Here is a 27,441-nt window from a genome sequence, read left to right as displayed (position 1 = left end):
CATCTTAAATAGATGAGGCAGAGCCATCCACAGCTTCACCTTTATCTGAAGTGGTAAAGTCCAAACTATATTTTCAATGTAAAATGTTCATTTAAGCCAGTCAAATCATTTTACTTTATATTAATATTTTCCATCTTGTTATACTAAAACAAAAACCCCAAACACAAAGGGAGCTCCTGAAATCTGCCTAGAGGAATTTTATTCTAATTAAACACACACACATACGTTTTTCTAAGTTCATTATAAAAGCAATGCTTTTGAACTTCCTAATAATGACTTTATTCACTATTTTACATTTGGCTCACTGCTAGAAGACAGTTACAAGCATAGAAAATGGACCCAAGGACAAACATTTACTTGGGAGGGAAATAACACAAAGAAGCATATCAATCGATGTCTTTGTCAGTCATTCTGTGACCAACCAGGAGCGGGGATGGCTTTGCTCTAGATTCTGGCAGCCAGTAGAAACCATCTCTAGAAACCATCTCATCTTTATCCATAATGGTAATAGAGCACAGTGTTCTCTAGACATGTAGATCTGCCACATGGCAAAGCTATATCATGATTTCTTCTTGCAGAGTGGGCAGTTTCAGCAGGACCTGTAAGTTTGCTTAGGTTTTCTGAAGATATCGGCATTAAAGACTTACACATTCCTTTTGTCCTCCTAACGTATTTCGTAACCACACTCTCAACATTCCAATAAGTTTTGAACTTGGAGGCACTTAGAACATAATTACATTTCTAATTTTGTTTCAGTTTGATATGTGTCCCTTCCTTCCTTTTTTTGGTAGAGACAGTGTCTCACTATGTTGACCAGGCTGGTCTTGAACACACCAGGCCTAAAGTGATCCTCCTGCCTCAGCCTTCCAAAATGCAAGGATTACAGGTGTGAGCCACTGTGCCTGGCCTATACTTCCTTTCTTAATCAACTTTGTTTTTATTTATTTATTTATTTATTTATTTATTTATTTATTTATTTATTGAGACAGGGTCTCGCTCTCTTGCCCTGGCTGGAGTACAGTAGTGCACTCTTGGCTCACTGTAGCCTCGACCTCCGGGGCTCAAGTGATCCTCCTGCCTTAGCCCCACAAGTAGTGGGACTATAGGCACACACCACCATGCCCATCTAAGTTTTTGTATTTTATGTAGAGACCAGGTTTCACCATGTTGCCCAGGCTGATCTTGACCTCCTGAGCTCAAGTGATCTGCCCACCTCGGACTCCCAAAATGCTGGGATTATAGGCGTAAACCACCATGCCTGGCCTTAAATCAACTTTAGAGTCAACATCTCTTATCACTGGAGCTTCTAGAGAAACTCCATCACGTGGTGCTCTCTTTCCTGATGTGTTGTGCCCAAATAGCTTGTTCTCATCAGATGACTTATTTGCTATGATATATATACTTCAAGAGCTGCTATATGTATTACATACATCAAATCTTTCTGTAAAGTTTGATTTTTGTTTCTTTAAAAGGAACATAAATGTTCCAGGACCAAGGGACACAAAGAGGTTTTAATTTTTAGTTCTGTAGCCTCATATATTTTAACAGAAATATAAAAACAGATAGTAGCAGTTTTCCAGTGGAGAAAACTTTCCAGATGTCTCCACTGTATCTCCTTTCTTTGCCTCTCCTTGAGAGAAGGCTGGAACTGATGGGTAAATTGGTTTTTTGCCCATCAGCCTATTCACATCTTTCCTTCCTTGTTCCCATCCTAGATTGTGGGGTTTTTTTTTGAAATCTGTTCCATTTCAGACATTTAAAGAACAGCCTTATCTAATCCTGCTCAAGCAAAATCTCAGAATCCTTAAATACAAAAGATCCTGTGTGGCCAGTCATATAGTTCATGGGAACTCTATGAACTTTGACCTAAGCTTTATCTCTGATTATATTTTGGCACTGCTGCCCCTTTACATTAACGCTGAAAAACAAAACAAAACTTAGCTAAGTTTTATGGCAAGTGGGGGCAGGGTCAGGTGAAGAGGTAGGAATTGCCTGAGGTTGGGGGTCCCTAAAACATAAAATAATCATCCAAAGCCCATTTTCCTCAAAGCTGGGGGTAATGGCCAAAGTATGTTCTCAAAGCATCATCTGCCCTGAGAAAGGGCAGCTACTCCTTCTACAGAGATCTCTGTGCACACTAATCTGTACTGTCTTCAGTACCTTGATGGCTGTTTGTGGTCATACACTCCGTGGACCAGTCTTGAGGGATCACAGGGCCAACCAGCTCAGCAAACCTCTCCAGAGGACAGCTGGGGCTGCAGCCAGGTAGCATGAGGGGATACGGCTCGTGCTGCGTCTCATTCCGATAGTACATCTCCACAAAGTACTCCCTGGCAGACAAAGGCAGAGGAGAGAGCTCTGTTAGTTCTGTGTTGTTGAACTGCCACTGAATTTCTTTCCACTTGGACTATTACATGCCAGTTGAGGGACTAATGGAAAAACTTATGGGGAGATTTTAGCCAATTTAGGTGTGTAAATGGGGAGACTGGGGCAGGCGGGAGAGATTTGCAGGGTGGAAATGGGAGGGCTGGTTTGTTAGATGAACAGGGACATAGGAGGTAGGCACCAGGATGCTAAATCAGAGGAGGTGGTGAGAAGTGATGGTTGCAGGGAGCTGGGTGGGACTTTGAGCCTTTGGATAAGAAGTGGGAGGCAGGTGGGGGTGTTGGGTTTTCCTTCTCCTCCTCCCTTCTTTTTAGGCTTCTCATTTGCTCCTTTTTTTCTTTTTCTGTTTTCCTACTTGAGTATTTCTTTCAGTCCTCTTTCTGAATGTATCTCCCCTCTCCTTAACTAGGCTATAAACATGGAACTGAATAATATATAACATATGTGCTTGAATATACAGCAAGACTTTATCAGAAAATTATCCCTCAGAACAAAGATGTGGGTATGTGTTCCAGTCCTTCCATTGTGTCACGTTAAGGAGAGCTCTCTCAATGCTTTATCTCAAAAAAACAATGTACTATTTGGGAAGGTCCAATGGTGTAAACTAACCTGAGTTAAACCAGCGTGAGTTGCTTATGGAAGCCATTTGCTAATCAAGGAGTCAGGAGGGGAACTCAAGAAGGATTTAGAGATCCTTCTTTTGGTGTAACCTTACAATGGCTACTTTTGGTTGTCATTATAAACAAGCCTTTTAAAACATCACTTTAAAAAGCCATATAAACATAGTAACAGCAAATATTCACTTATGTCTATAAGGCTGGGCGCAGTGGCTCACGCCTGTAATCCCAGCACTTTGGGAGGTCGAGGCGGGTGGATCACGAGGTCAGGAGATCGAGACCATCCTGGCTAACACGGTGAAACCCCGTCTCTACTAAAAATACAAAAATTAGCTGGGTGTGGTGGCACATGCCTATAGTCCCAGCTATTTGGGAGGCTGGGGCGGGAGAATCACTTGAACCTGGGAGGTGGAGGTTGCAGTTAGCCGAGATCACGCCACTACACTCTAGCCTGGGCAACAGAGCGAGACTCCATCTCAAAAATAAAATAAAATAAAATAAAAATAAAATAAAATAAAATAAAATAAGATAAAATAAAATAAGATGTCTATAAAACTTACAAAAACCTCCCTAATATGTATTATGAATGGGTACTTATATCTTGGAATAACTTTTTCAGTAACAGCATCTTCTGTCTTAAGATGATATGGCCTAGATGACCAATACTCCATCAAACTCTGTTATTCTCTTTCCATAGAATTGAATTATGGCTCAGAAGTGACCACATTGCCAAGACTACGTTGTACCTAGGTAGGACCAAGTCACTAATTTAGCCAGTAGAAAGTGAGCAGAAATGATATGTGTCCCCTTTAAAAGGCTGACGTGGTTGATAAGCGGGTTGCTGCCTCCACCCTTTCATTCCTTTCTACAAGCTGCCTGCAAGTGAGCACAGCACTCTTGAAACCGTAGGTCCAAAGAGGGAACCCTGGGTGCCTGAATCACCACGTGTGAATCACATCTATTAATGTACACCTGCATTGTACTGTTAGATAAGTGTGAAATTAATTTTCATTGGGTTAAGACTTCAAAAATCTGAGGTTCATCTATATAGAAGACAAAATTATCTTTTATTAGTGAATATATCTGGGAAACAATTTTAAAAGACTCAAAATTGGCTTTAGTGGTGAAGACACAAGCCAAAGATGAGTACAAAGAGTTTAGATAAAATCATTTTATAAAATGTAAAAGTGAAACAAAGCAATATTAACTTAATGAATTATTTTATATAGTCTATGATTTTAAATCTCTGTATCTAACCCAAAATTAAATCTTTTAAGAATATTTTTAGCTACCTTTTCTACAACCTGAAAAGTTTACGTATTTAAGATGGTTGAAAATCTAAAATACTCTCTCTTTCTGTCTCTCTCCGTATCTTCTCATAAGAAAATGTGAGATCACTTCACAGTCAGGATCACCTAATAAGCAGGCTTAGACAGAATTCGTTAACTCGAAGCCTCCTTGATCCTAATTTAAAAGCAATCACGTTTCACCTTTGATATTTCCCTGGAGTGCCAATAAAAAAAATCCTAATACAACAACAAATTGGACTTGACCTTTACGTGGCCCTTGGTTAATTTTTTCTGTATGTCACTGCCTTTCAGTTGAAAAAATACTCCACACTTGATTTGTAATATAGATTTAACTCAGGGTCGTAAAACAAGGCAATTCAGTGGGAGAAAATGCTTCTGTGCACTGAGAAAGCAAGCTCTGGACCACTGGGGTCCAGAAACCAGAGAACAGGGAGGTACGAGTAGAGTCAGTAGCTTCTCTTGTCTTATCCCAAAGGAGATGGTGCCTGCTCCTGAAGCTGATCCTGGAATTTGGTTGGATTTATTAACTCTGTGCCCAGAGCTGGCCTTCTGATGGGCAGACTTGTGCCGGGCTTGTTATTAAGAGAGGGTTTTATGTCTCTAGTCGTTTCATTCCCATTTTCTGTTCTATTTGGCCAGTCTCCATTTTGTGGGTCTTACCTCTCCATGCTGACTCTAGATATTTGAGAGCAAGGTTAACTAAGACCACATTTTAGTTCTAGTTCATTGTGCCTGACACTCAGTTAGAGGTTCAATAAAGAATGTATCTACCTGTCCCTAACTGTGCAGAACTCACTTCTTTGTAAGCAGTGAAGATATTGGTTGAGAATGAAGTCTCTGTGCTGTTACTTTCTTACTCTACAAATTCAGGGGCCAGAAAGCTACATCCAAGACTACAAAATTTGCAAGATGAAATACAGGGCCCATTGTTTAAACATTATTACAATTTAAAGATGGCCACAGCAGATCATTAAAACAAGCATGGGCTCTTTTGAGCCAGGTCCCCATGTAACTGCACAGTCAGGTTGGTGTGCAGCTATTGTGAATGCCTTGAGGGAAGGGCAAAATAGATCTCCCTGACTAATCCCAAAACAAACTCTGGGGTCACTGCCTTAACTCAGCCCTTTCCTTGCTCTTATTTCACTAATAATATCCCATGAAGTCTGGTGACTTGTTCCAAATACCTCCTTCTTCTCCTCCCAATGAGAATGTCGTTGTCACAGCAGATAAATATTTTTGGTATGACCTTGGTGTGATAATCAATTCTTCCCCAGTTTTTCCAGGACATTTCTGGTTTTAACAATGAAATTCACATGTTCTGAGAACACCAGATTTCATGGGTCAATTCTGGTGAACTGGGACATTTGGCTACGCTAACTTTGACCCTTCTAATGGGTTCAAGCTAAGCTGTGGTCATCTGGGGAGGGCCACACCAGGTCACACAGAGGTAGACACCAGTTAGAAATTGTACTTTAAGAATCTTGACTTGTGGATATGAATCATCAGAAGCTGAATGAATATGTTTGAATTCTTTAATTGAAAAAATATTATTATATAACCATCAAGAAATTTTTCTCTTGCCAAGTATATATACAATACATGCCTACTTCTTAGAATACCTTAATTTTTTTAAAAATGTAATTTCTGTTACATAGGCTATTTCCCAATTTTTTCATCTACTGTGTATATTATTTTCCAGTAAAAGTCTTCATGAAAAAGAAAAAAGAGACATGACTAGCAAAGATCTTGTTACCACCATTCTTCCCTCTGAATATAAAACCAAATCAAAGACAAACAGGCACACAACCCTTAACCCAAAATAATAATAATGAAACCCAAGGTCCAGTGATACTGATTTTGAAAAGCACTTAGTCACTTACCCCTTCTCAAAGTACAATTCCGTCAAGTGGCAAGAAGCATAGGGAGGAAGGAGTCCGTTGTAAACATCTAGCGCCATCTGTAGGCCACTCACAGTAGTGTCATGCTACAGAGATTGAAATCAATTTTATCGCCTGTTCAGATTCACATTCAATAGGTATGAAGCACTTGTACAGCACCATGATGGCTTCTGATTCAATTAAATTTCCCATACGCCCACAATGACTTAATAAGTAGAGAAGGAAAGATTTTGGTTGAGCATTAGCGGTGTGCTAGGCAGTATGATTTAGATATGTATCATTATTTTCATTTAAAAGATGAAGAAATTGGCTGGGCGTGGTAGCTCATGCCTGTAATCCCAGCACTTTGGGAGCCCGAGGCAGGTGGATCACTTGAGGTCAGGAGTTCGAGACCAGCATGACCAACATGGTGAAACCCCATCCCTACTAAAAAAAAAAAAAAAAGCTGGGTGTGGTGGCATGGGCCTGTAAATCCAGCTACTTGGGAGGCTGAGGCAGGAGAATCGCTTGAACCCGGGAGGCAGAGGTTGCAGTGAGCCAAGATCGTGCCACTGCACTCAGAAGGTGACAGAGCGGGACTCCATCTCGATAAAATAAAATAATTTTAAAAATAATAATAAAAGATGAAGAAATTGAGACCCAGGGAAATTAAGCAACTTGCTTAATGTCATATAACCCCAAATGGAAGAAAGTAAATTTGAATCAAGCCTCCTTAAGTGCTGTGCCTTTTTGAAATATTTTGAAACACATTAATGCTAGATTATATTTTTCTATAGATTAGCATCATCTGTGATTTAAAGTTGTGGAAGAATATATGAGGTTTAAATGTTTAGGGAAGATAAAATACAAGGAAGTATAGGATGCAATTTAAAATAATTGTAAAGCTAAATGTTTACCCCAGAGTGGCTGGAAGGTATAGGGGAGTGGTTTTCAACCCCCTTTCTGCCACTGATTAGCTATCTAATCTTAGGCAGTCCTCAACTTCCATATCTGCAAAATTGGGATAACATTTGGCTGCCTAAACTGTATGGCAGCGTGCACATATTCAAAAGGCGTTAGAAGTAATCTAATAGAGAAAAAAAAAAAGGAGCTACGGATATGACATGCTGGAAGTCACACCACAAGTTAAAACTAGAAATCAGATTAGACACTACGAAAATTGGCAGAAATGACTAATTTCAGGCCTATCTCTCTCCAGGAAGCACTCTGCTCCTGCCCAGGCCTATTTCCCTAGTCTATACCATTTAGGGCTCCTGATAATAAACAAACTTCCTGGCATCTTCAGTCACCTCTTTCACCTTCTTGCATGAATGAAAACATGACTTTCTTTCTCCAGCCACAGCTGAGAAACCTTTTGTCATGGAGATGTGAGTGAAAGGAGTCAGCATGCTATGTCCTGTTTCCCTGCTCATCCCAGACTCCATGGGCAGCTATTTGAATGTATAATACAATTGCAGAATTTTCCCCAAACACTGTGTCTCTCCTTGGCGTCTCAGACTCTTCTCTCCCTGGCTTCTCCAAGATGAAAGCCTTTTCTAAGATCTCTTGCTCTCTTTTCTTTCTACTCCCAAATGTAGCTCCAACTTTGAGTTGCAGTCCTTCTTCCCTTTCCTCCTTCTATTCTCTTTGCCATCTGAAGTTTTCTGCTGGGATGCCCCTGTGGCATTTCAAACCCATTGCCTAATCAGTACATTTGCCTGGCCCAAGACCACCTCCTTCCTGCCACTGAAAACTGAAATCTTGACTTCATCTGGGGCTTCACCTTCCACATCATTGTCTTCCACCCACTTCCAATTCATCACTGAGAATGCACACTCAGCTTTTCTTGTAACCTGGCTCACTTCTTTTCCTCTCCTGCCGCTGCCCTAATTTTAGGCCATATCCCCATTTTTCTAGACTATCACAAAAGCTTTCTACACCATATCCTGTTCCCAACATCCAGTTATTCTATAAAATAATTAATTTCCAAAATGCTGCTCCTATCCTGTCACTCCTGCCCTGCCTTCCCTGAGCAAACACTGACAGGGGGGTTCTCCCTTGCTTCCTTGCTTCTTTCTACAATTAAACAAAGAAGCAGCAGGACAACATGGCCCTTCAGCTGCCATCCAGCATAAACTTCTGACACTCCATATCAGGGCTATCTAAAAAACCTTCCATGATGATGGAGATGTTGTATATCTGTGCTCTCCAATTCAGTAGCCACTGGCTATATATGGCTATTGAACACCTGAAATGTGGCTAATACAACCGAGGGACTTAATTTTTCATTCTACTTAATCATAATTAATTTAAATGTAAGTAGCTACTTCTGGCTACTAGGTTCCATATTGAGCAGCACAGTTAACATCCACTAATTTGGTACCACTTTTTGGACACAACATTCCTGGCCTTCCACTTCTGTCCTAATAATTTACTTTATTTGTCCTACACACTAGTGAGGAGCACTTACTAACCCCTTTCATTTTGATGTGTTGGATGTGCTGCCTTGTCTAGGAAGCCTTTCTGCTTCTCTTCTCCACCCTCTTGGAACAGAAGGGATGGCTAGATTTTCTGAGGTGCCATAGCACTTGCCTGCATGGTATTTCCATCCCATTTTGTATAGTGTTTATGTTTGTCTTCTTGTTAGTTTAGATTATAAATCCCTTAAAGGACAGAATGATGCATTTAATTCTAAAAGCTTTGTGCAAGTGCCTACCACGTACAAGGAGATGGGGAAATGAAGATTAAAAAAAGATGAGGTCCTGTGCTTCAAGAGATCACACACTTGAACAAACATATGTTAAATGAAGATGAAAATACTTACCGCAGAATACATGATGAGTTTTTTGTAGCTTGGTATCTGAGTTGCTCTCTTCATGTGATTGAGGATTTCATTGACCAGGACACCTTAAAGAAGATGAATCAATAACCAAACTGAACCAAACATAAGCTTCTATTTTAGTTCATTAGCTTTTTGTCACTTCATAGTTGCGGACTCTCCCTGCCATGACTTAAGAAGAGGGGCAAAGATCTAATTTTATTGAGCATCTGCTCTGTGCTAGGTAATGTGATTTACATACTTTTTTTTTTTTAAACTGAATCCTACGTCTCAACCCTCATTTTTAGGTAAGGAATCTTAAGTCCAAAGATATTAAGTGACTCACACAGCCAGGTAAGGAAAGCTGGATTGGCACACTAGGACTCTACCATACCGGGTTTTGTTAAAGCTCAGGTTAGGAGGCTGATAAGCTTGGAAGGAACTTCAGACAGCTTTTTCAGATCATAAAAGATAATTCTTAGCCCATGTTCTTCTCCAGAGCAGACCTGAAATGACAGCACAGCAGGTACTCCTCTATTTTCACCCCTCTTGCTTCTACTCTCTGGCAGTCAGACCTGTGGGAGGCCATGGGAGAAAGCAGCTCTCTGGATGTTTGTACAGATCATGGACTATTCTCTGTGGACCATTTCTCCAGGTTACCCTAGGTGTCACTATTGGGGGGACAGCCAGCATCTTTAGCTTTCATTTGAGTTTCTGTCTGTCTTCAGTAGAGGAAACTTTTGCTCTTCACACTTCACATCTGAACACCTAACTGCTGTTGCTCCTGAGGTGGTGAAAGACAGATATAGAGCTTACAGTATTTATCCTATTTCTAGGCACTGAGGGCTGTGGGGTACCTTGTGGTGCCAAAACAGATCCTGTTTTAAGGACATGTTGCTTCAGAGATGTCTGTAACTATCTGGTGTCTCTGTTGGTCTCTTTACCCTGCATCATGTGCTCTCTTGGCTGAGAATGACCAGTAGGGTGTGTTAGGGTGTGTGTGTGTGTGAGTTGTAATGAGCAGGGCATTGATATTAACAGATTGACTATAATCTCAGGTTCTGTAGTCCACTCAACAAACACACACTGAGCAGCTATGATGCGCCAGATACTGTGCTAGGAGAATCAGACCTGGTCCCTGCCCTCCAAAAACTCATAAAATAGTAAGAAGAGACAGGTCTGTACACCAGTAAGTATAAAAAAGGGTTAATTAAGGAGGTAGGTATCTGCTCTTTCTATAAGATACTGGAAATTCCTTGAGGATGAATAGGATAATCTGAATGTACATGTCTAACAGGTCTAAATCCCTCCATCTCAGAGAGGGTTGCCCTGTGGAATGCATTAGGGACTTTAGCTTGATTCACATGCCATGTTGGTGCTAAACTCTGTGGCCAAGCTTTTGGGAGCCATGACAGCCACCTGAAATCAGCAAGTTGCCCTTTGTCAACAAGTGCCTTTTAGTCAGGCTGCAGTTTTGGTCATGAATATATCAGTTCTTGGTTCTGGTATGATTACACCCTTATCCCAGGAGTGATTAGGGGTGACTATCATGATTATCCTCAGGCTCTGGCATATCAATATTCTGTTTTATAGGGGAAACTGAGGCTTGGAGAGGCTCAGAAACTTGATTAGATTATACAACTTGCAAGCAGAGAAGGAGGGCTTTAAATCTAGCATGTCCTGTGTCAAAACCTTTATTTGTAATCATTAGAACATGCTATCGTGGAAAGCTAGCTTCAAAGTTATCTGTTGTATCCTTTATTAAATCTTCGTAAACTAGACAAAAATATCATTGACCTGAAGACATAAACTTTGCTTCCTTCATTTCTAGTCTACAGCAGAGGTTGGCAAACTTTTCTGTAAAAGTCCAGAGAGTAAATGTCTTAGGCTTTGTGGGTTAAAAAATCTGTTGCAACTACTCAGCTCTGCGGTGGTAGCATGAAAGCAGCAATAGACAATGCATAAATGAATGAGTGTGGCTGTATTTCAATAAAACTTTATTTACAAAACCAGGTAGTGGGCTGGATTAGGCATACAGGCAGTAGTTTGCCAACCTCTGGCCTAGAGCAAGAAGAGCTCTCTTTTCACTGATATGACCAGCCATATGATCCTAAATTTGCCCCAGGGATTTTTTTGGTGTGTGTGTGTGTGTGTGTGTGTGTGTATGTGTGTGTGTCTTACTGAACAGTGTCACCCCTGAAGTTAAATGATGAAATAAAAATTCTAGACTGGGCACAGTAGTTCATGCCTATAATCCCAGAACTTTGGGAGGCCAAGGTGGAGGATCGCTTGAGCCCAGGAGTTCAAGACTAGCCTGGGCAACATAAGGAGACCCTGTCTTTGCAAAAAATTTAAAAAAAATTTAGCTGGGCATGGTGGTGCATGACTGTAGTCCCAGCTACTTGGGAGTCTGAGGTGGGAGGATCGCTTGAGCCTGGGAGGTCAAGGCTACAGTGAGCCGTGATCATGCTGCTGCACTCCAGCCTGGAGGACAGAATGAGACCCTGTCTCAAAAACAGACACAAAAACAAACAAAAAATACAAAGAAACAAAAACAAAACAAACTAACAAAAAAACTAGCAAAGGTCAGAAGATGGCCCTGATGTGTCCACATTACTCTTTGTCACCTAGACAATGTGTGTTTTCTGTGCAGGAATGTGTGCAGCTGTTTCATCATTCAATAAACATGTAGTTGACAAATCTCTCTTGCCCAGCCAGATCTGAATAATAGTCTGAGCTTTTGTTTTGGCAGAACCACACAGGAGAAATTTTCCTGCTTAACAATGGCGCTGGACTTTTTCCAGAAAGCAGGACAGCTGGTTTCATACAAGTGCCAGCCTTTAGAATCCAAGATCAGAGAACAACTCAGAGAAGGACTCTTATAGACAGTCTAGTTTAATCTCCTCATAGGTAGTGAAACAGAGATCCAGAGAGGGGAAGTGGCTTCTCCCAAATGTAATCTTCTAGTAGGCAAGGGAAATAAAAGAGGAAACATGAGGAAAGTGGAGCAACTCCATTTCTTATTCATACATACACATCCCTACATCTACTATTAGACTACTGTCAACTCCTGTCTGGTATAAAGCATGTTGGGATTTTATTCAAATGCAGATCCTGATTCAACTCGTTTGGGAGTGGGGCCTGTGTTTCTAGCCAGGTGGTAGTTGATGCCGATGCTGAAAAGTAGACTGCACTTTGAGTTGTGAGGGACTAGGTGCCTGAATCCACCATAACTAGGTTGGGGGAAATAAATCAAGAGTCCCGCTTCCACCATTTGATGGGGCTTGCAACTGAGTCACACTGCTGGCACCTGGTGGGCCAGAAATGAGGCTGAGTGCTTATGTGGCTTCCAAGGCACCCTCTACATCTTTTGTTGTTAAGCACTTAAGATTGAGCTTCTTCCTGGGTTCTGCCCATAGACACAGTCTGTATCCCGCCTGGTAATTTTTTCCAACACTCCAGCTTCCATCTAAGACTCCTCTCTGGAGACTCTCCCTTCCTCAAGGCTGGATCTTGTTGCTCATGTGTTTAATGTGAAGTAAGGACTTGCACATTTCTATCAAGTCTGTCTCTGTGCCATGCAATCAGGATTTTTGTAATAGCAGATCTACAACAACCTCATGTCGTTAATGGCCACTGTCCTAAATTTTTTGCCCCAACCTACTTTATTCATCTCACATGAATTTGCTCCTGACCATCCTGGTTTCATACCTCATTCCCCTGGTTACAGCTTGCCTCACTCTTTATACCTGGTGTGCAGCCCTGCTTTTCTAGCTATAATTGATTCCTTTTCTGGTCAGTGATTTGAATTTTTTCCCTAGTTAAGTAGCCTCAGTGAACAACCTCCCAGTCTGGTCCAGCCCTAATATGCTTTGCCTCTATGCATTCTCTTGGGATTTTGATGGACTTGTCCTGATGCTGTGGTGAATAGTGTCTGTCAATGGCTGGAATCATGATGTGATTGTATTAATCTCAAAATGCCTTGAATATGTGTGTCAGCCTGACTTGGACCATCTCCTGTGGCTTGGACTTTCCTCATTACGTCAACCTGACATGATGAACTTTCTCTTCTTCTTTATCCCTAGTTTTAATACCTATGATAACCACATCTAAGTCTGACACCTCATTTGGTATCTTGGCCTGCCCATCCAGTTTCTCTCATAAGCCCCAACATCTGTCCTTGTCTTTGCTGGTCCTGACTTTTTTCTTCCATCCACTTATCCTGATTACAAGAATCCAGCATCCTCTTGCCTGGGTCTGCCTTCATATGACAGGGTGTCCTGTGCTACGAAGAGCCAGTTCTAACCAAGAAGAGGCATCACTGATAAATAAATCTCAACAGCTTTCAATGTCAATGAAAAATTTCAAGCTGTGTTATAAACTTGTCAATTGCAACATATTTTAACAGCACATAATTGGTCTGAAAAATATAACAATTAGCCTGAAAAATATATTTTATCGGCTTTCACAATGACTACCACTCAGGGTTTCAGGAAAACAGGCCACTTTTGTCATACCTCCCACTTGAAAAATTCATCATATAGGCCACAAGACACAATTGATTTTCATGTGGCTCAGACACAGATCCTTGATTTTTGATCTGGAGGGGATGGAAAGGATCATTTAGCTTTAGCTTTCATTTTCCAGATAGAAAACTAAGGGCTTGAGTGAGTAATAGTTATGATTATACTAACATATGACATTTATTGACAGTGTATTATGTACCAGGTACTGTTTGCTCTAAGCCATTTGAATACATACATTCATTTTAATACTCACTGTCTATGAAGTAGGTATCATTAATATCCCCATTTTGCAGAATGGAAGCTGGTGCAAGAGTGATTAAGTGAACTGTCTGAGATCACACAGTTGATTAGTGGAGGGAATGACTCAGACCTGGATCATTCAACCACAAATCCAATATGCTCCTCTCATTTTTTAATACTTACCCCCTTGGAGCCTAGATTTCTCTTTCTGCTTGTGAATTCCATAGAGGGACAGGAGGGACAATTCTGACAATTCTCTCAACTTAGTCATGGTGTCCTCAGTGGCCCAGGAGGGTAAAGTGAAATTGTGAACACTCTGTAGCAAAGAAAAAGGAAGAAAAATGTATGTGTATTTATATGACTGTCCTCTTTGTTGACTTATCCTTTTTCACCTCACAAGAACTAGTAGGGCCAGACTTTCTTGTCCTGCCATTTCTTTCTAAAAGAACTTCATATTGTGATAAGTAGTGGTATTGACTTTCAGAAGAAAAGCTTATATAAATGAATTTACCCATTCCTACCCAGTCCATAGCTTTTGGTTTAACTCTGGATCAGTGGGTGGCTCATATTTTGCAGAGTAAGGGTGCAGTAGGGAAATAATACCTCATTCCTTTATGAAAGGGTTAGAAATCTTTCTATGAACCTGACAGAGTTAAATGATATTTCCTTAAAAGCTGAATGGGCTGCCTGAGAGGCCAGTTAGGAAAGGCAATATATTTCTGGAGCCTTCAGTAATATATTCTCCCCTACCCCCATCAAGGTCTAGTTTGCTGACTTTTTTTTTCTTTTTTTTTTTTCAGAGACATTGTCTTGCTCTGTCACCAAGGCTGGAATGCAGTGGCCATCACAGCTCACTGTAACCTCAAACTCCAGGACTCAAGCAATCCTCCTACCTCAGCCTCCTGAGTAGTTGGGACTATAGGTGCATGCCACCACACGTGGCACTTTTTTTTTTTTTTTTTTTTGAGACAGAATCTTGCTCTGTCATCCAGCCTGGAGTGCAGTGGCACGATTTCAGCTCACTGCAACCTCCACTTCCTGGGTTCAAGCGATTCTCTTGCCTCAGCCTCCCGAGTAGCTGGGATTACAGGCATGCGCCACCACACCCGCCTAATTTTTGTATTTTTAGTAGAGATGAAATTTCGCCATGTTGGCCAGGCTGGTCTCGAACTCCTGAGCTCAGGCAATCCGCCCACCTTAGCCCAAAGTGCTGGGATTATAGGCATGAGCCACTACACCTGGCCACACGTGGCTAATTTTTAAAAGTGTTTTGTAGAGGTAGGGCCTCATTATGCTGCCCAGGCTCATCCTGAACTTCTAGCCTCAAATGATCCTCCCATCTCAGCCTCCCAGAAGTGCTGGGATTACAGGCAGGAGCCACCATACCTGGCTGTAGTTCACTGACTCTTGAGGAAAGCCTGCACCTTGCACACAGTGGATACTTGGTAAATATGCGTTAAATGAATGGTTAAGTACAAGCAGGGCAGGTGAGACCTTGTGCCAATATTTATTACCCGTTAGGAAGAGTTGATTAGGAGTCCCCCAGTTTCAAAGGCAGGATTAAGAGTGAGAGAAAGTGAGTTCGTGAAAGAGGAGACCAAAGTGGAGTGACCTACAGAGGAAATAAGTGAGAGAGATTTGGAAAAAATATCACATGACATGACCACATTTTGGAATAGCTCAGATCAAACTGTAGTAAGGAAGAAAAAAAAATTATGACTGGAACAAAAATGGGGGCTCTTGTTTTCACTGAAGAGTCTTTTACAATGCTAATGAATTTTCACTGAAATAGTTGCTGATGATTAAGTGAAAATACTGGGAAAGTAGCATGTGATTGGGTCAATTAACTTTAGGATGGATGGAGGCAAACTGTGTCATCTGTTATTAAGATAGAACTACGGAAGTAATTGCTGCCCCCCAGACTCTCACGATGACCTCAAAGTTAGAAGTCAATATGAATTAGGTGGGTGGTCAGAATCTTGCCCCATATTTAGTGAGCTAGTTGGGAAAACAGGAACAGAGAGTACTCCTTTTGGCCAGAAGGTGGAGCATGGTGAGTGAGAAACACCATGTAACCTTGAAAAGCAATCGTAATTTATCTGGCCACAAACGGTATTTCAAATGCATCGCAAAGCAAGAAAGAAGTTCTTTCTTGTTAAGCAAATATAAATAGCCTGGCTTATATTTTGCTTGTTTATTTCTACATTCGGAAATCAGGTAATTTTCCCCTCTTTCTTTATAACAACATTGTTTTTTCATTAAGACCAAGGACAGGAACCCAGCATTTTTGAGTGGCTGCAAAATAAATAAGCTCCTACTGAATCCAAGGGGGGAAAAAACTAAAGTGGAAACTCATAGAAGAAAAGCAATTTTGCTTGTAATTTTCTAAAGGGTGAAAACATAAATAATAATAGAGAGAAAAGAGAAGTCAGCATTTTCAAGTTAATATAAGGAAGTTGTGAATTACGTTTCAATGTCAAAAGAAGTATAAGTAATACATTCATAAAGAAGTGAAAGAAAAGATATTCATCTATTTCAAAATAAGCATAAATCATAAAATCAGATTGCAAGTTAACCTGTGATTTTTTTTTCTTTTACCTCACAATATAAAGGGTCGTAGACTTTACTCCAAATTCCAAAAAGGTCCTGGCCATGTAATCCTGAAAGTTTTCCCAAGGTAGCTATAAAATCCTGAAACACAAACAGAGAAAGAAAAATTCCTACACAGGTTTCTCAGCTTCAGCATTATTGATATTTTGGGCCAGACAATTGTTTGTTGTAGGGAGCTCTCCTGTGCATTATAGGATGTTTCACAGTATCCTGGCCTCTGCCCACTAGATGCCAGTAGCATTCCTAATCTCCCACTTGTATAACCCAGAATATCTCCCGACATTGCCAAATGTTCCTTGTGAGGCAAATGCGCCCCTGTTGAGAACCGCTGTTCTTCACAGAAAAATGCACCAGTAATATTGGTTACGATAATGTCATTCCAAAGAATTTTACAAACACGAATTGATTATTCCTTATTATTACATTTAAAATGTAGATAGATGCTGGCTGACTGCCACATGTTCCTGGTTCGTGCTGGAATTGGATTGAAGTGTACTGCCTCAGATTCTTTTTAGAAGTGGGTAAAGTATAACTCATGTGTAAATATGTCCCAGGTGAGAAAGGAAAGCATATTTCAGGCCAAAGCATCCTGGAACATGCAACACAAATAGGGCTTGGTCTTTGGCTATACATATAAAACTTGGATGGAATGCAAATCTTTCGCTAGGTTCTGTATGTTTCTTGGAATGTCGCAATAATGAGACCCAATGTTCAGCTATCTGACTGCTGAAATTGGCAGCCATTTCTGGGAAGCCTTTTTGGAAGATATTGTCTGTCTGATGGATGAAATTTCTAGGGAACTACAATTTGCCAATATTAACCTCAATAGATTTTCATAAAATAATAGAAATTATTGTTAAAGAGCTCCTACTGCCATCTTCTCAAACATAAAAGCTCCAGGGCCAGATGACTGTCATAGAGGAATTCTACCAAGCTTTTCAAGAGTAAATTATTCTAATGCTATTTTAACTGTTCTGGAGCATAGAAGATGAAAGAAAACTTTCAAAAACTTCTTATGAATTAAGTGTAACACTGATACTGACAAAGATTGCCCCCAAAATAAAACTATTAGTTCAATGCCACTTGTAAATATCAATGCAAAAGGTGTAAGTAAAATAACAGGAAGTAATTCAATGTCACATAAAAGGAAATGGGTTTGATTTGAGAAATATAAAGATTGTTCAACATTGGTAAATCTATGAATGTAATCAATCATTGTAATTAATCCAAGGAGAAAAATAATTTGATTGTATTAAAAAATGTTAAAACAATCATTCAGGAGATTAAACAACTAATATTGATTTAAAAAAATACACTCAAGAAAATAAGAAAGGTGGATATTTCCTTAATTTCATAAAAATATGTCTATTTTGGTTCAAAAGCCTGTATGCTTATTAGGAAAACTCCTCTAAAATCAGAAATAAGACAAGAATACCCGCTACCAACACTGCCCATAACATTATACTGTAAGTAGTGGCCAGTGCAAATAGGCAAAAGGAAGAAATCAGAGATACACATTTTTGAAAACTGGAGATACTGTAAACCTGAAACAAACTTAACAAAAAATGTAAAGACATATATGAAGAAAACCCTAAAATAATCTTTAAGATAAAACAAGTAGGAACATGTACCATATTCTTAGGAAGATTTGACAGTGAAAAGTTGCAAATTCTCCCTAAGTTAAATAAATTTAATATGATCCTAATGAAAATACTAAAAATTAAAAAATACTTTTGGAACTAGACAAGCTGACTCTGAAGTTCACAAAGAAAATTAAAACATAGCCATGGAAACTCAGAAAAAGCAATGAGGGATGACTAGCCCTTTAGATATTAAAGCATATTATAAAGTCTTAATAGTTAAAACCCAAGTTTTGGCTAATAAAAAATTAAACAGAATAAAAATTACATAAATAGACCCCACACCTATGGGAATTTTAATATATAATAGCTTCAATAAGTAGGAAAAAAATGAACTATTCAATAAACAATGATGGAGCAATTAGATAATCTTCCAGGAAAAAACTTAAACAGGATACCTTCTACCAGTATGAACTGTAAATGAATTCAATATATAAATGAGAAATGAAGCTAGAGTGGAATTAGAAGAAAGCATTGCAGACTTCCTTTATAACCTAGGAGTGGGGAAAGCTTTTCTAAACATGACTCAAAATATAGAAGCCATATAAGAATACATTGATACAGAACCTACATGGCAAGAACACGGTAAGCAGTTAATAGACAAACTTTTTTTTAAAAATGCCATTCATTATCTATGATATTGTGAAATATATATTTGGTCTTTTTTTTTTTTTTTTGAGACGGAATTTCGTTCTTGTTGCCCAGGCTGGAATGCAGTGGCGCCATCTCGGCTCACTGCAACCTCCGCCTCCTGGGTTCAAGTGATTCTCTTGCCTCAGCCTCCTGAGTAGCTGGGATTACAGGCGCCTGCCACCACGCCTGGCTAATTTTTTGTGTTTCTAGTAGAGACAGGGTTTCACTAAGTTGGCCAGGCTGGTCTCAAACTCCTGACCTCAGGTGATCACCCACCTTGGTCTCCCAAAGTGTTGGGATTACAAGCGTGAGCCACTGTGCCCGGCCTTCTATTTGGTGTTCATCTCCATTTTCTGCCATAGAATTCCTAAAATCCTTGGAGTCTCCAAAGTATGTCTTTTTGCATGCTAATGATTGATTGATGGCTGGCAGTCCCTGGCCAGCTTCAGGATGGGGGTTGGTCACCAGAAAGCCAAGGCCGGGATTAGAGCGTTGGGACTTTCAGCCCTACTTCAGAACCTCTGGGGAGGGGAGGGAGTTAAAATTTAAGTTGATAGCCAATAGCCTGTGGCTTAATCAATCATGCCTATGCAATGAAATCTCCATAAAAAGCCCAAAGGGAGAGGGTTCAGAGAGCCTTCAGAGAGCTGAACACTTAGAGGTTCCTGGAATGTGGTGGTCCTGAAGAAGGCAGGCAAGCTCCTTGACCTTTTCCTTATATCTTTTGTAATATCCTTTGTAATAACCAATAACTGTGTTTCCCTGAGTTCTGTGAGCTGCCCCTGCAAACTGATCGAACCCAAAGAGGAAGTTGTGGGAACCCCAACTTAAAGCCAGCCTGTCAGAAGTTTGGAGGTCTGGACTTTCATCTGTGTCTGAGGTGGCGGGTTGGGGGTGGCCAGTTTTGGGGCCTGAGCCCTCAACCTGTAGGATCTGATGCTATCTCCAAATAGATGGTGTCAAAACTGAATTGGAGGCCACCCAGCTGGTGTCTACTGCAGAACGGGCTGCCTTTTCTTGCAGAGAGATCCCCCATATTTGGTCACAGAAGTCTTCTGTCTGTGTTGATTGGTGTTTTCAAGTGAGAAAAATAGGAAAAAACACATTGAGTGTGTTTTTTTTCACACACAAAATATCACAGACAGAAATGTTAAAATACATAGAAAAAAGCTTCTAAAAACTTATAGCAAAAGGAAAATCAATCATCCAAAAGAAAAATAGTCAAGGGATATTGATATAAAAGGAAATATAAATGGCATTTAACTGATGAGAATACACGGACACATAGAGGGGAAGAAGACACACTGGGGCCTCTTGGAAGGTGAAGGGTGGGAGGAGGCAAAGGGTCAGGAAAAATAACCAATGAGTACTAGGCTTTATACCTGGGTGATGAAATAATCTGTACAACAAACCCCCATGACACATGTTTACCTATATAACAAACCTGCATTTGTACCCCTGAACTTAAAATAAAAGTTAAAAAAGAAATACAATATCAAAAAACAAACCAAAAAATGGTATTTAACTAGATGAAGATACCCAAACTCACTCATCACAAGAAGAAAAGTACTATAGCACGATGTTGTACAGTAGTTATAATAGTGAGCTTCCTTGTCTTATTCCTAATTTTAGAGGAGATGGATGCTTCTAGTGATATTATTTTCCACTTACCAGATTGGCAAATATCCCCAGAGTGGTCCACATACTGTTGGCAAAGTTGTGGAGAAATGGGCATTTGCATGCAGTGCTGATAGAAGTAGAAAGTAGTAAAACCTCTTTGGAGGGTAAATTAATAATATTTCAGATTAACCCAGAATGTCTACTTCTAGGATATTATCCCACAGGTATTCTTGTGAAACTATTTAGATGCACAAGTTATTCATACATGCTGTTTGTAAAAATGAAAGATTGAAAAATGACCCATATTCCTATCAATAGGGGCTGGTTAAATAAATTATGGCATAAATATAAATATTACACATTTGTTAAAAAAAAGGAAAAGAAAGAAAAGGAGGAAACTCTTTACATACAGATATAGAAATATTTCCAATATATTTTCTTAAATGGAAAAAAAAAAACAAAACAAAACCAAGGTGCCCAACCCTATGAATAGTATACCATTTTCGTGTAACAAAAGAAGAAACTATCAGAATATATTTTTATGTTTGTATATGCATAAGGAAATTGGAAGACTGCATAAAATACTACATAAAATACATAAAAGACTGCATAAAATAAACACATAAAAGACTACTAGAAAATAATGCTAGTGGTTACCTGTGGGGTCATGGAGGCTTCCACTGTATTCCTTTTTATATTTTCTAATTTTTGGACAGTATGAATGTATAATATTCAAAAGATTATTTTAAAAAGTACACAGCATTATATCTACCTTTTGTATTGTGCTGAAAATGGGTACTTTGCAAAATAGAAACAAAAAAAAAAGACTATCCTTTGTATATGAAGACAATAATCCCAGCCCCTTAGCCTGAATAAGGCAGGTGATTTTAGACTTATATTTATTCTCATCCAGCCATTTACTCACACCTGGTTCCTCTCAAGGCCATGAGTAAAGGATTCAAAAGGACTGGCTTGTCTATTGGCTTGTGACCCCTGTATGGGGAAGGGAAGCAGGAGTGATGACCTCCCTCATTAAATATTCTAACCCATTGCTGTAACCAGCCACTGACAGATGCATTCGTCCCATCTTTTTAAGAAGCCAAAGCTTCATCTTGTGTCTTGGCCCTCACACTCAAGTACCACTAACAAACTAACAAGTACCACTAAACAAAACTAGCTTTTAACCTTATAAGGGTGCAGCCTCTTCTGGAATTCCTCTGATTTCAAAGTCTCACTCTCAAGTTCTTGAAAACGAGGGCAGTTCCTGAAAGGCAGGTATAGCAACTGAGGATAAGAGAAAAATCATAAAACTGTTATGAGTCAGAAAAACTTTGCTAAATATGCTGCAGCAATATTTTAAGCCTCATTAGGTTCAAAGCAACCTTAATAAAAGATTCAAATGTGTTTTGAGCTGAGTGGAAATTCCAAAATTGGGGAGAAAGAATCAAATGATCTATAGGTCTTAAAATAGTAGGATATGTATTCAGAATTGAAAATCCTTTTTTTTCATTCATAAACTTGCCATAATATAACTGAGCTGTTGGTGGTAAATATTTACACTTCTCGATCTTCCACGTGAATAACTGTTATCTTGCTTCCTTCCCAATCACTTTCATTTCTTGCAGTAGGTGCACACCTGTACACACACACACACACACACACACACACACACACACCCCAACGCATGTATGTATGGAGAAAGGAATTTGATTCTGGAAAAAATCTTAAGTCAATTAACCACTCATTAACTTCAGGTTTTGCAAATTTGCAGACTGTTAAGAGTACGTATTAAATACTTAGAAAAATATACTTCAAAAACCTGTTGTGAGGACAAAGTGAACTTCCTAAAATTAATTAAATTTTGACAGTGTTTTATAATTTTAACTGTAACCCACAGGTTTGTGGCTCTCAAGTTTATTTTGTTGCCCTTACTTTCCATCTGTGACTAGTCCTGTATTTCTAGCCCTTGGTAGAAATAACTAATTTGCATTTTTTTTCCCTCAAATTTAACATGTACAAGGCTAAACTTGTACATGTTACAAGGGCCTTCTTGCTGTCCCTGAAGGCATAGGCTTAGGATCTCTGCATAAAACTGTTCCCTGCCTTGAACACTCCCCAACTGACTTCTACTTCTCTTCTAGCCATCCTTCCCCAGCCTCTATCATATTAAAATGAATTCAACTTCATTTTTAACCATTCCCTCTTTGTAATTTTCTCTGCTTTTGCTAGTGGCAGAATTTATCAACCTACTTCATAGTCACTTTTGTTTCTCTATTTTCAAAACATATCCCCTTCTATTTCAAAATAGACCGCTTTTTTTTATCTTCATAGTCCCCTCCCAGTCCTAGCCACCATAACTTGTGTTTCAACTACTGTGAGAACTTCCTATTTGGTAAATCAGTGTTCACTCTTTCAGCCATCCTAATTCATTCTCCACACAGCAGTTACACTAATACCTTTTATTATTATTATTATGTTTTGAGACAGAGTCTTGCTCTGTCACCCAGGCTGGAGTGCAGTGGCGCGATCTCGGCTCATTGCAAGCTCTGCTTCCCAGGTTCACGCCATTCTCCTTCCTCACTCTCCTGAGTAGCTGGGACTACAGGCGCCTGCCACCACGCCTGGCTAATTTTTTGTACTTTTAGTAGAGACGGGGTTTCACTGTGTTAGCCAGGATGGTCTCGATCTCCTGACCTCGTGATCCACCTGCCTTGGCCTCCCAAAGTGCTGGGATTACAGGCGTGAGCCACCGCGCCCGGCCTATTATTATTTTTTAAGCATGAATCTTTTTAAAGTATCGATCAGATCATGTCATTTTGTGGTTCATGACCTTCATTGGCTTTCCATTTTACCTAAAATAAAATCAAAACTCACCACCACACAGACTACATCAAGAGTTTGCATGAGTTGGCCTCTAGGAACTGCACTGCCCTCTTTTCCTATTACTGTCCCTTGTCACTCCTCTCCAGCAACACTTTGGGCCTTCTTGCTGTCCCGGAAGGCACTGGCTTAGGAGCTCTGCCTAAAACTGTTTCCTGCCTTGAACACTCCCCCATTGACTTCTACCCCTCTTCTAGCCATCCTGGGCCAGTCTCTATCATATTAACCTGTTTCATTTCTTTCCAGGAACTCATCGCCATCTGACATTATTTTATTTTACTTCTTTATCATCTATTTCCTATAAAATATAAACTTGACGAGAGCCAGGATCGTGTCTGTTTTGTTCACTGCTGCAATGTCAATGCCCAGCACAGGGCTTGGCATATTAGTAGCTACTCAGAAAACATTTATTTTAAAAGTTGCTTCCTGTTCATCATTTCTGATTCTGTGTGTCACCTTGTCTTACCTTGCTTCTCTTCCTCTAACATCTTTTACCATCTCATTTCAGGCCTTATTTCTTAATTCCAGAATTGCTTCAATAGTTATTCTCTGAGGCTCCAGTGTCTTTTCTGTCCAAGCTACTGTCAGGCAAGTGCCCAAAAGCACCACTCATCACATGTGCGTAATACCGAAGAATGTATACAGGTTTCTTTTGTGTCCATTGCTTTTAGTCTAAATTTGCATGCATGGCTTTCAAATTGTTCCATAGGAGAAATTATATTGTTAAGAGAAAAAGCAGAAGACTGTTCATTAAAAGGCCTGGAATTTAATTAATTACTTTCTGGATGTTAGTTTTTTCATCCACAAATTGAGTCAGGCTGAAAATAAACAGAATAATCACCGAGACATCTGTCCAGAATTTTGCAGTTTATGGTGTTTTCCATTTTTTAACTAACTTGACTTTCACAAATCCCTAAGAAGAAGTTAGGTGGGTGCTATTTTCCCATGTTACAGAAAGGAAACTGAGGTTTACGGAGGTTACTCAAGGTCATATATCTGAAGTGGTAGTTGGATGTAGGTTTTCCAACTTCAAATTCAGCCCTCCTTCTAACATCACACTGCCTTTCTTTCAACTCAAGATTCCTCCTGGCTATTAAATTTGGATTATCTAATCTGTGTCCAATATAATCAATTTTATTTTCATTCTCTTTCTAAATATGAACTCTGGGCACAGAAGAACTGGCATTCTACATATTCACTCATGGTCGTGTTTTTGTGCTGCCTTCCTCTCCTTCCTCCCTCTCCTCTGAGGTCTGGTTCAAGTTCTCACTCTCTTTATGAAGACCTGAACGACGGCCCTGTGGTAACTGCACGTAAGTCTCATTCTCTGACTTCACCCAGCATATGTGGCTTGTACTTGAAATTATTGCCCGCCATCTTATAATGTCTTCTACACATTTCACACATGCTAATTTGCTTTCATCAAACTATAAATTAGAAAAACTTCGCCTCCTATTTCTCTACAGCATTCAGCACAGCTAAATGCTAGGAATAAGCTAGTGTTGATTGGTTTCATTAGATTTCTTAGTTGATATGAGAGAATTTTTTTGACCTTAGTGAATCAGATAGATGGAAGCCATAGGTAGATAATGTTCCTTGCTTCTCTCTTTCTCTCCCTCACTCTCCCTGTTTCTTTCCTCCTCTTCTACTAGCACCTGCATTCTCTTTCTGTGTAACTTAATTACTATCATTCAGGATTAATTGTTAAATAGCTGTTGTGGTCTACATTTTGCTAAATTTTGGTGCTGCTATCCAGTCTTTGTTTTGTTTTGTTTTTTATTTATTTTTGAGACGGAATTTCGCTCTTGTTGCCCAAGCTGGAGTGCAACGGTGCGATCTTGGCTCACTGCAACCTCCACCTCCCAGGTTTAAGTGATTCTCCTGCCTCAGCCTCCTGAGTAGCTGGGATTACAGGCGTGCACCACCATGCCCAGCTAATATTTGTATTTTTAGTAGAAATGGGGTTTCACCATGTTAGCCAGGCTGGTCTCGAACTCCTGACCTCAGGTGATCTGCCCGCCTCAGCCTTCCAAAGTGCTGGGATTACAGGCATGAGCCACCGCACCTGACCTCCAGTCTTTATCTCTGCAGAAAAGGCTGGTAAAGTGATTTTTTTTCTTTTTGGAATAAAATATTCACAAATGCTTAACACTGGTAATCACAATACTTCCCTCATGATTCTGTGAAGGAAAAGAGATGTAAATGAATCATCCTGTCTTTTCAAGAAACAGCAGAAAAATGGTTGGAGTAGATTTAACTCCAGTGACTTTCTACACAGCATTTGGGAAAAATCCCTAAGTCCCTAGATGCAGCAATTAAGTCAAATTTCTAGGGGTACTGGCAGGACAAAGAGGATAGTAACCTACCCCAGAGGTCACTGGGCAAAAGTCTGGGTCCAGCAGTCAGGCTAAGCTTCAGCCATAAAGAGATGCGATGGTCATGCCTATGATGGGACTGCAGGGAAATTAGGAAGGGATTCTTTGTCCCAAACTATTTCTTTCATATAGCCTTAAGTTTCACACCTGGAAGATTAGTTAGATTTATCTATTGCTACTTTAAAAATACCCATTCCTCTGAAAAGATTAAAGAAAGCTTGGTCGGTCCCAACCTGTGTAAACACGTTTGAGAGTTTCTCTCAAACAGCCCCATTCAGGCAGCTTAGTTTATAGTACTGGTTCTCAAACTTGCCTCCCCACTGGAATCATCGAGGGAGATTATTTTTCAAACACTGATGCCTGGGTCCACCCTCAGACATTCCGATTTCTTACGGAGAGTGCCCTGGGCATCAGGATTTTTTTTAAAAAACCACGTGATCCTAATATGCAGCTAAGTCTGAGAATCATGATTTTATAGGGAAGAAAATTGCTCTGGAATGAAATAGGCCTAGTTTTAATCCCAGAGTGATGCTTGCCAGCAGTGTTGCTTTGGACCAATTTGTTTGTTATTTAACCTCTCCAAGCACTTATTTCCCTCACTATAAAAGGAGAGCAAGAATATTGTCCATTCAGAGTTGTTATGAAAGGTAACACAATGATTCACATAAAATGTTAGGCAATGATTATGCACTCAAATCTTTTTTTCTCTACCTAGGAATGTGGATTTTCATGAGTGGAGGAGTGTTTGGTGGTATAAATATCTTTGGATAATCTGGAGAGTGGAGAAACCTGTTTGGGGCACCAAAAGCCTGGGAATTAAGGCAGAACACTGGGGGACTTGTCTATCTCCCTCTCCCTCTCTCTCTCTCTCTGTGTATGACGATGAGGGGGCAAATTGCCAAGAGTTGCAAGAGTGGCAAAACAAAGTGGATCATACAGATCCAAAGAGAAATTTGGTTCCTACTCTCTCTTAGCTAGGGTTTTCCATGTCCTAAATTGTCCTTTGTATCTTTATTTAAGAAAGAATTAAAACTGCACAGCTCAAGGAGTGTCCAGACTCCCAAATCCACAACTGTTGAGTAGCCTGCCTTCCTCATTCTAGGTCCATCTGAAATCTCCTGGTTTTCCCAGTATACTGACCTGATCTTCAGAAAGAGGAACTGTGTGCACCGGGATGGGCTGCCAGAGTAGGATAGGATTCCAGATGCTGACACCTTCTGGGGGAAACAGGGCTGCCAGGTTTGTCATAGCACTCATCAAAGTCCGGTCAACGTCTGTGCTTCGAATATAAACCTAGAGTAGGAAAATCAAAGCAGAAGCGAACGTAAAGGGAGCATGAGGTTTTTTTCTACAGAGCTGCCAAGGTATTAGAGAAAGGAAAGGACACCCACAGTGAAATATTACAGACATTGTGCTAACATCAGAATCATAATACTTGTTAAGGAATGAGCAATATTATGATCATGGTACAAAGCAACCTGGTTGGCCAATAGTTGAATTGACAAATGAGATCAATTAAGCAGTGGCTACTTGTCAAGCCAAAGTATTTATTCAGGTGTTCATAAAATCTTGAAATTACTCATATTCACAAACTTTTTGGAACAAAAATTTGCATAAAGAGGAATATATTTGTAAACAAGACCTCTGACTTGTATAAGTTCCTTGGAAAACAGGCAAAGCACTTTTATATATGCAGAATTATTTTAATTATTTCAAAGATCAAAGTTCCCACTCTTGGCTCCCCAACTTGCCTGTTCATGTTTATAGGACTCATTCAAGAATTTTCTATATCTCTTTCTTATATACTCTCCAAGTTCATAATGCTGCTCCATGCCCAGCTATGGGAAAAAAATAAAAGCAAAAATTAATGAAAGTAAGTTCTATGAATCACACTATCATAAAAATTTGTT

At 39.8% G+C, this 27,441-nt stretch overlaps 1 protein-coding gene across 5 annotated transcripts in view; it reads right to left on the bottom strand.

Annotated features, from left to right (window-relative positions):
* ACP3 (acid phosphatase 3) overlaps positions 1-27,441 on the bottom strand; it is a 50,896-nt gene that overhangs the window by 9,287 nt on the left and 14,168 nt on the right. For 2 of the 5 annotated variants that reach the window (NM_001134194.2, XM_011512946.2), the window contains exons 3-10: positions 27,283-27,369; positions 26,672-26,824; positions 21,462-21,560; positions 16,372-16,464; positions 13,957-14,089; positions 9,014-9,096; positions 6,193-6,296; positions 2,161-2,330 (exon numbers count right to left, since the gene is read on the bottom strand). In NM_001134194.2, coding sequence (NP_001127666.1) covers positions 2,161-2,330; positions 6,193-6,296; positions 9,014-9,096; positions 13,957-14,089; positions 16,372-16,464; positions 21,462-21,560; positions 26,672-26,824; positions 27,283-27,369 — 922 coding nt within the window. Of the gene's footprint in view, positions 1-174; positions 2,331-6,192; positions 6,297-9,013; positions 9,097-13,956; positions 14,090-16,371; positions 16,465-21,461; positions 21,561-26,671; positions 26,825-27,282; positions 27,370-27,441 lie in introns of those variants that run through there. The other 3 variants (NM_001099.5, XM_011512947.3, NM_001292037.2) reach the window with 3 other exon arrangements.

This window comes from Homo sapiens, chromosome 3 (assembly GCF_000001405.40).
Source record: "Homo sapiens chromosome 3, GRCh38.p14 Primary Assembly".
Taxonomy (NCBI): domain Eukaryota; kingdom Metazoa; phylum Chordata; class Mammalia; order Primates; family Hominidae; genus Homo; species Homo sapiens.
Note: the sequence above shows the minus strand (reverse complement) of the source record. Positions and strands in the feature narration are given on the sequence as shown.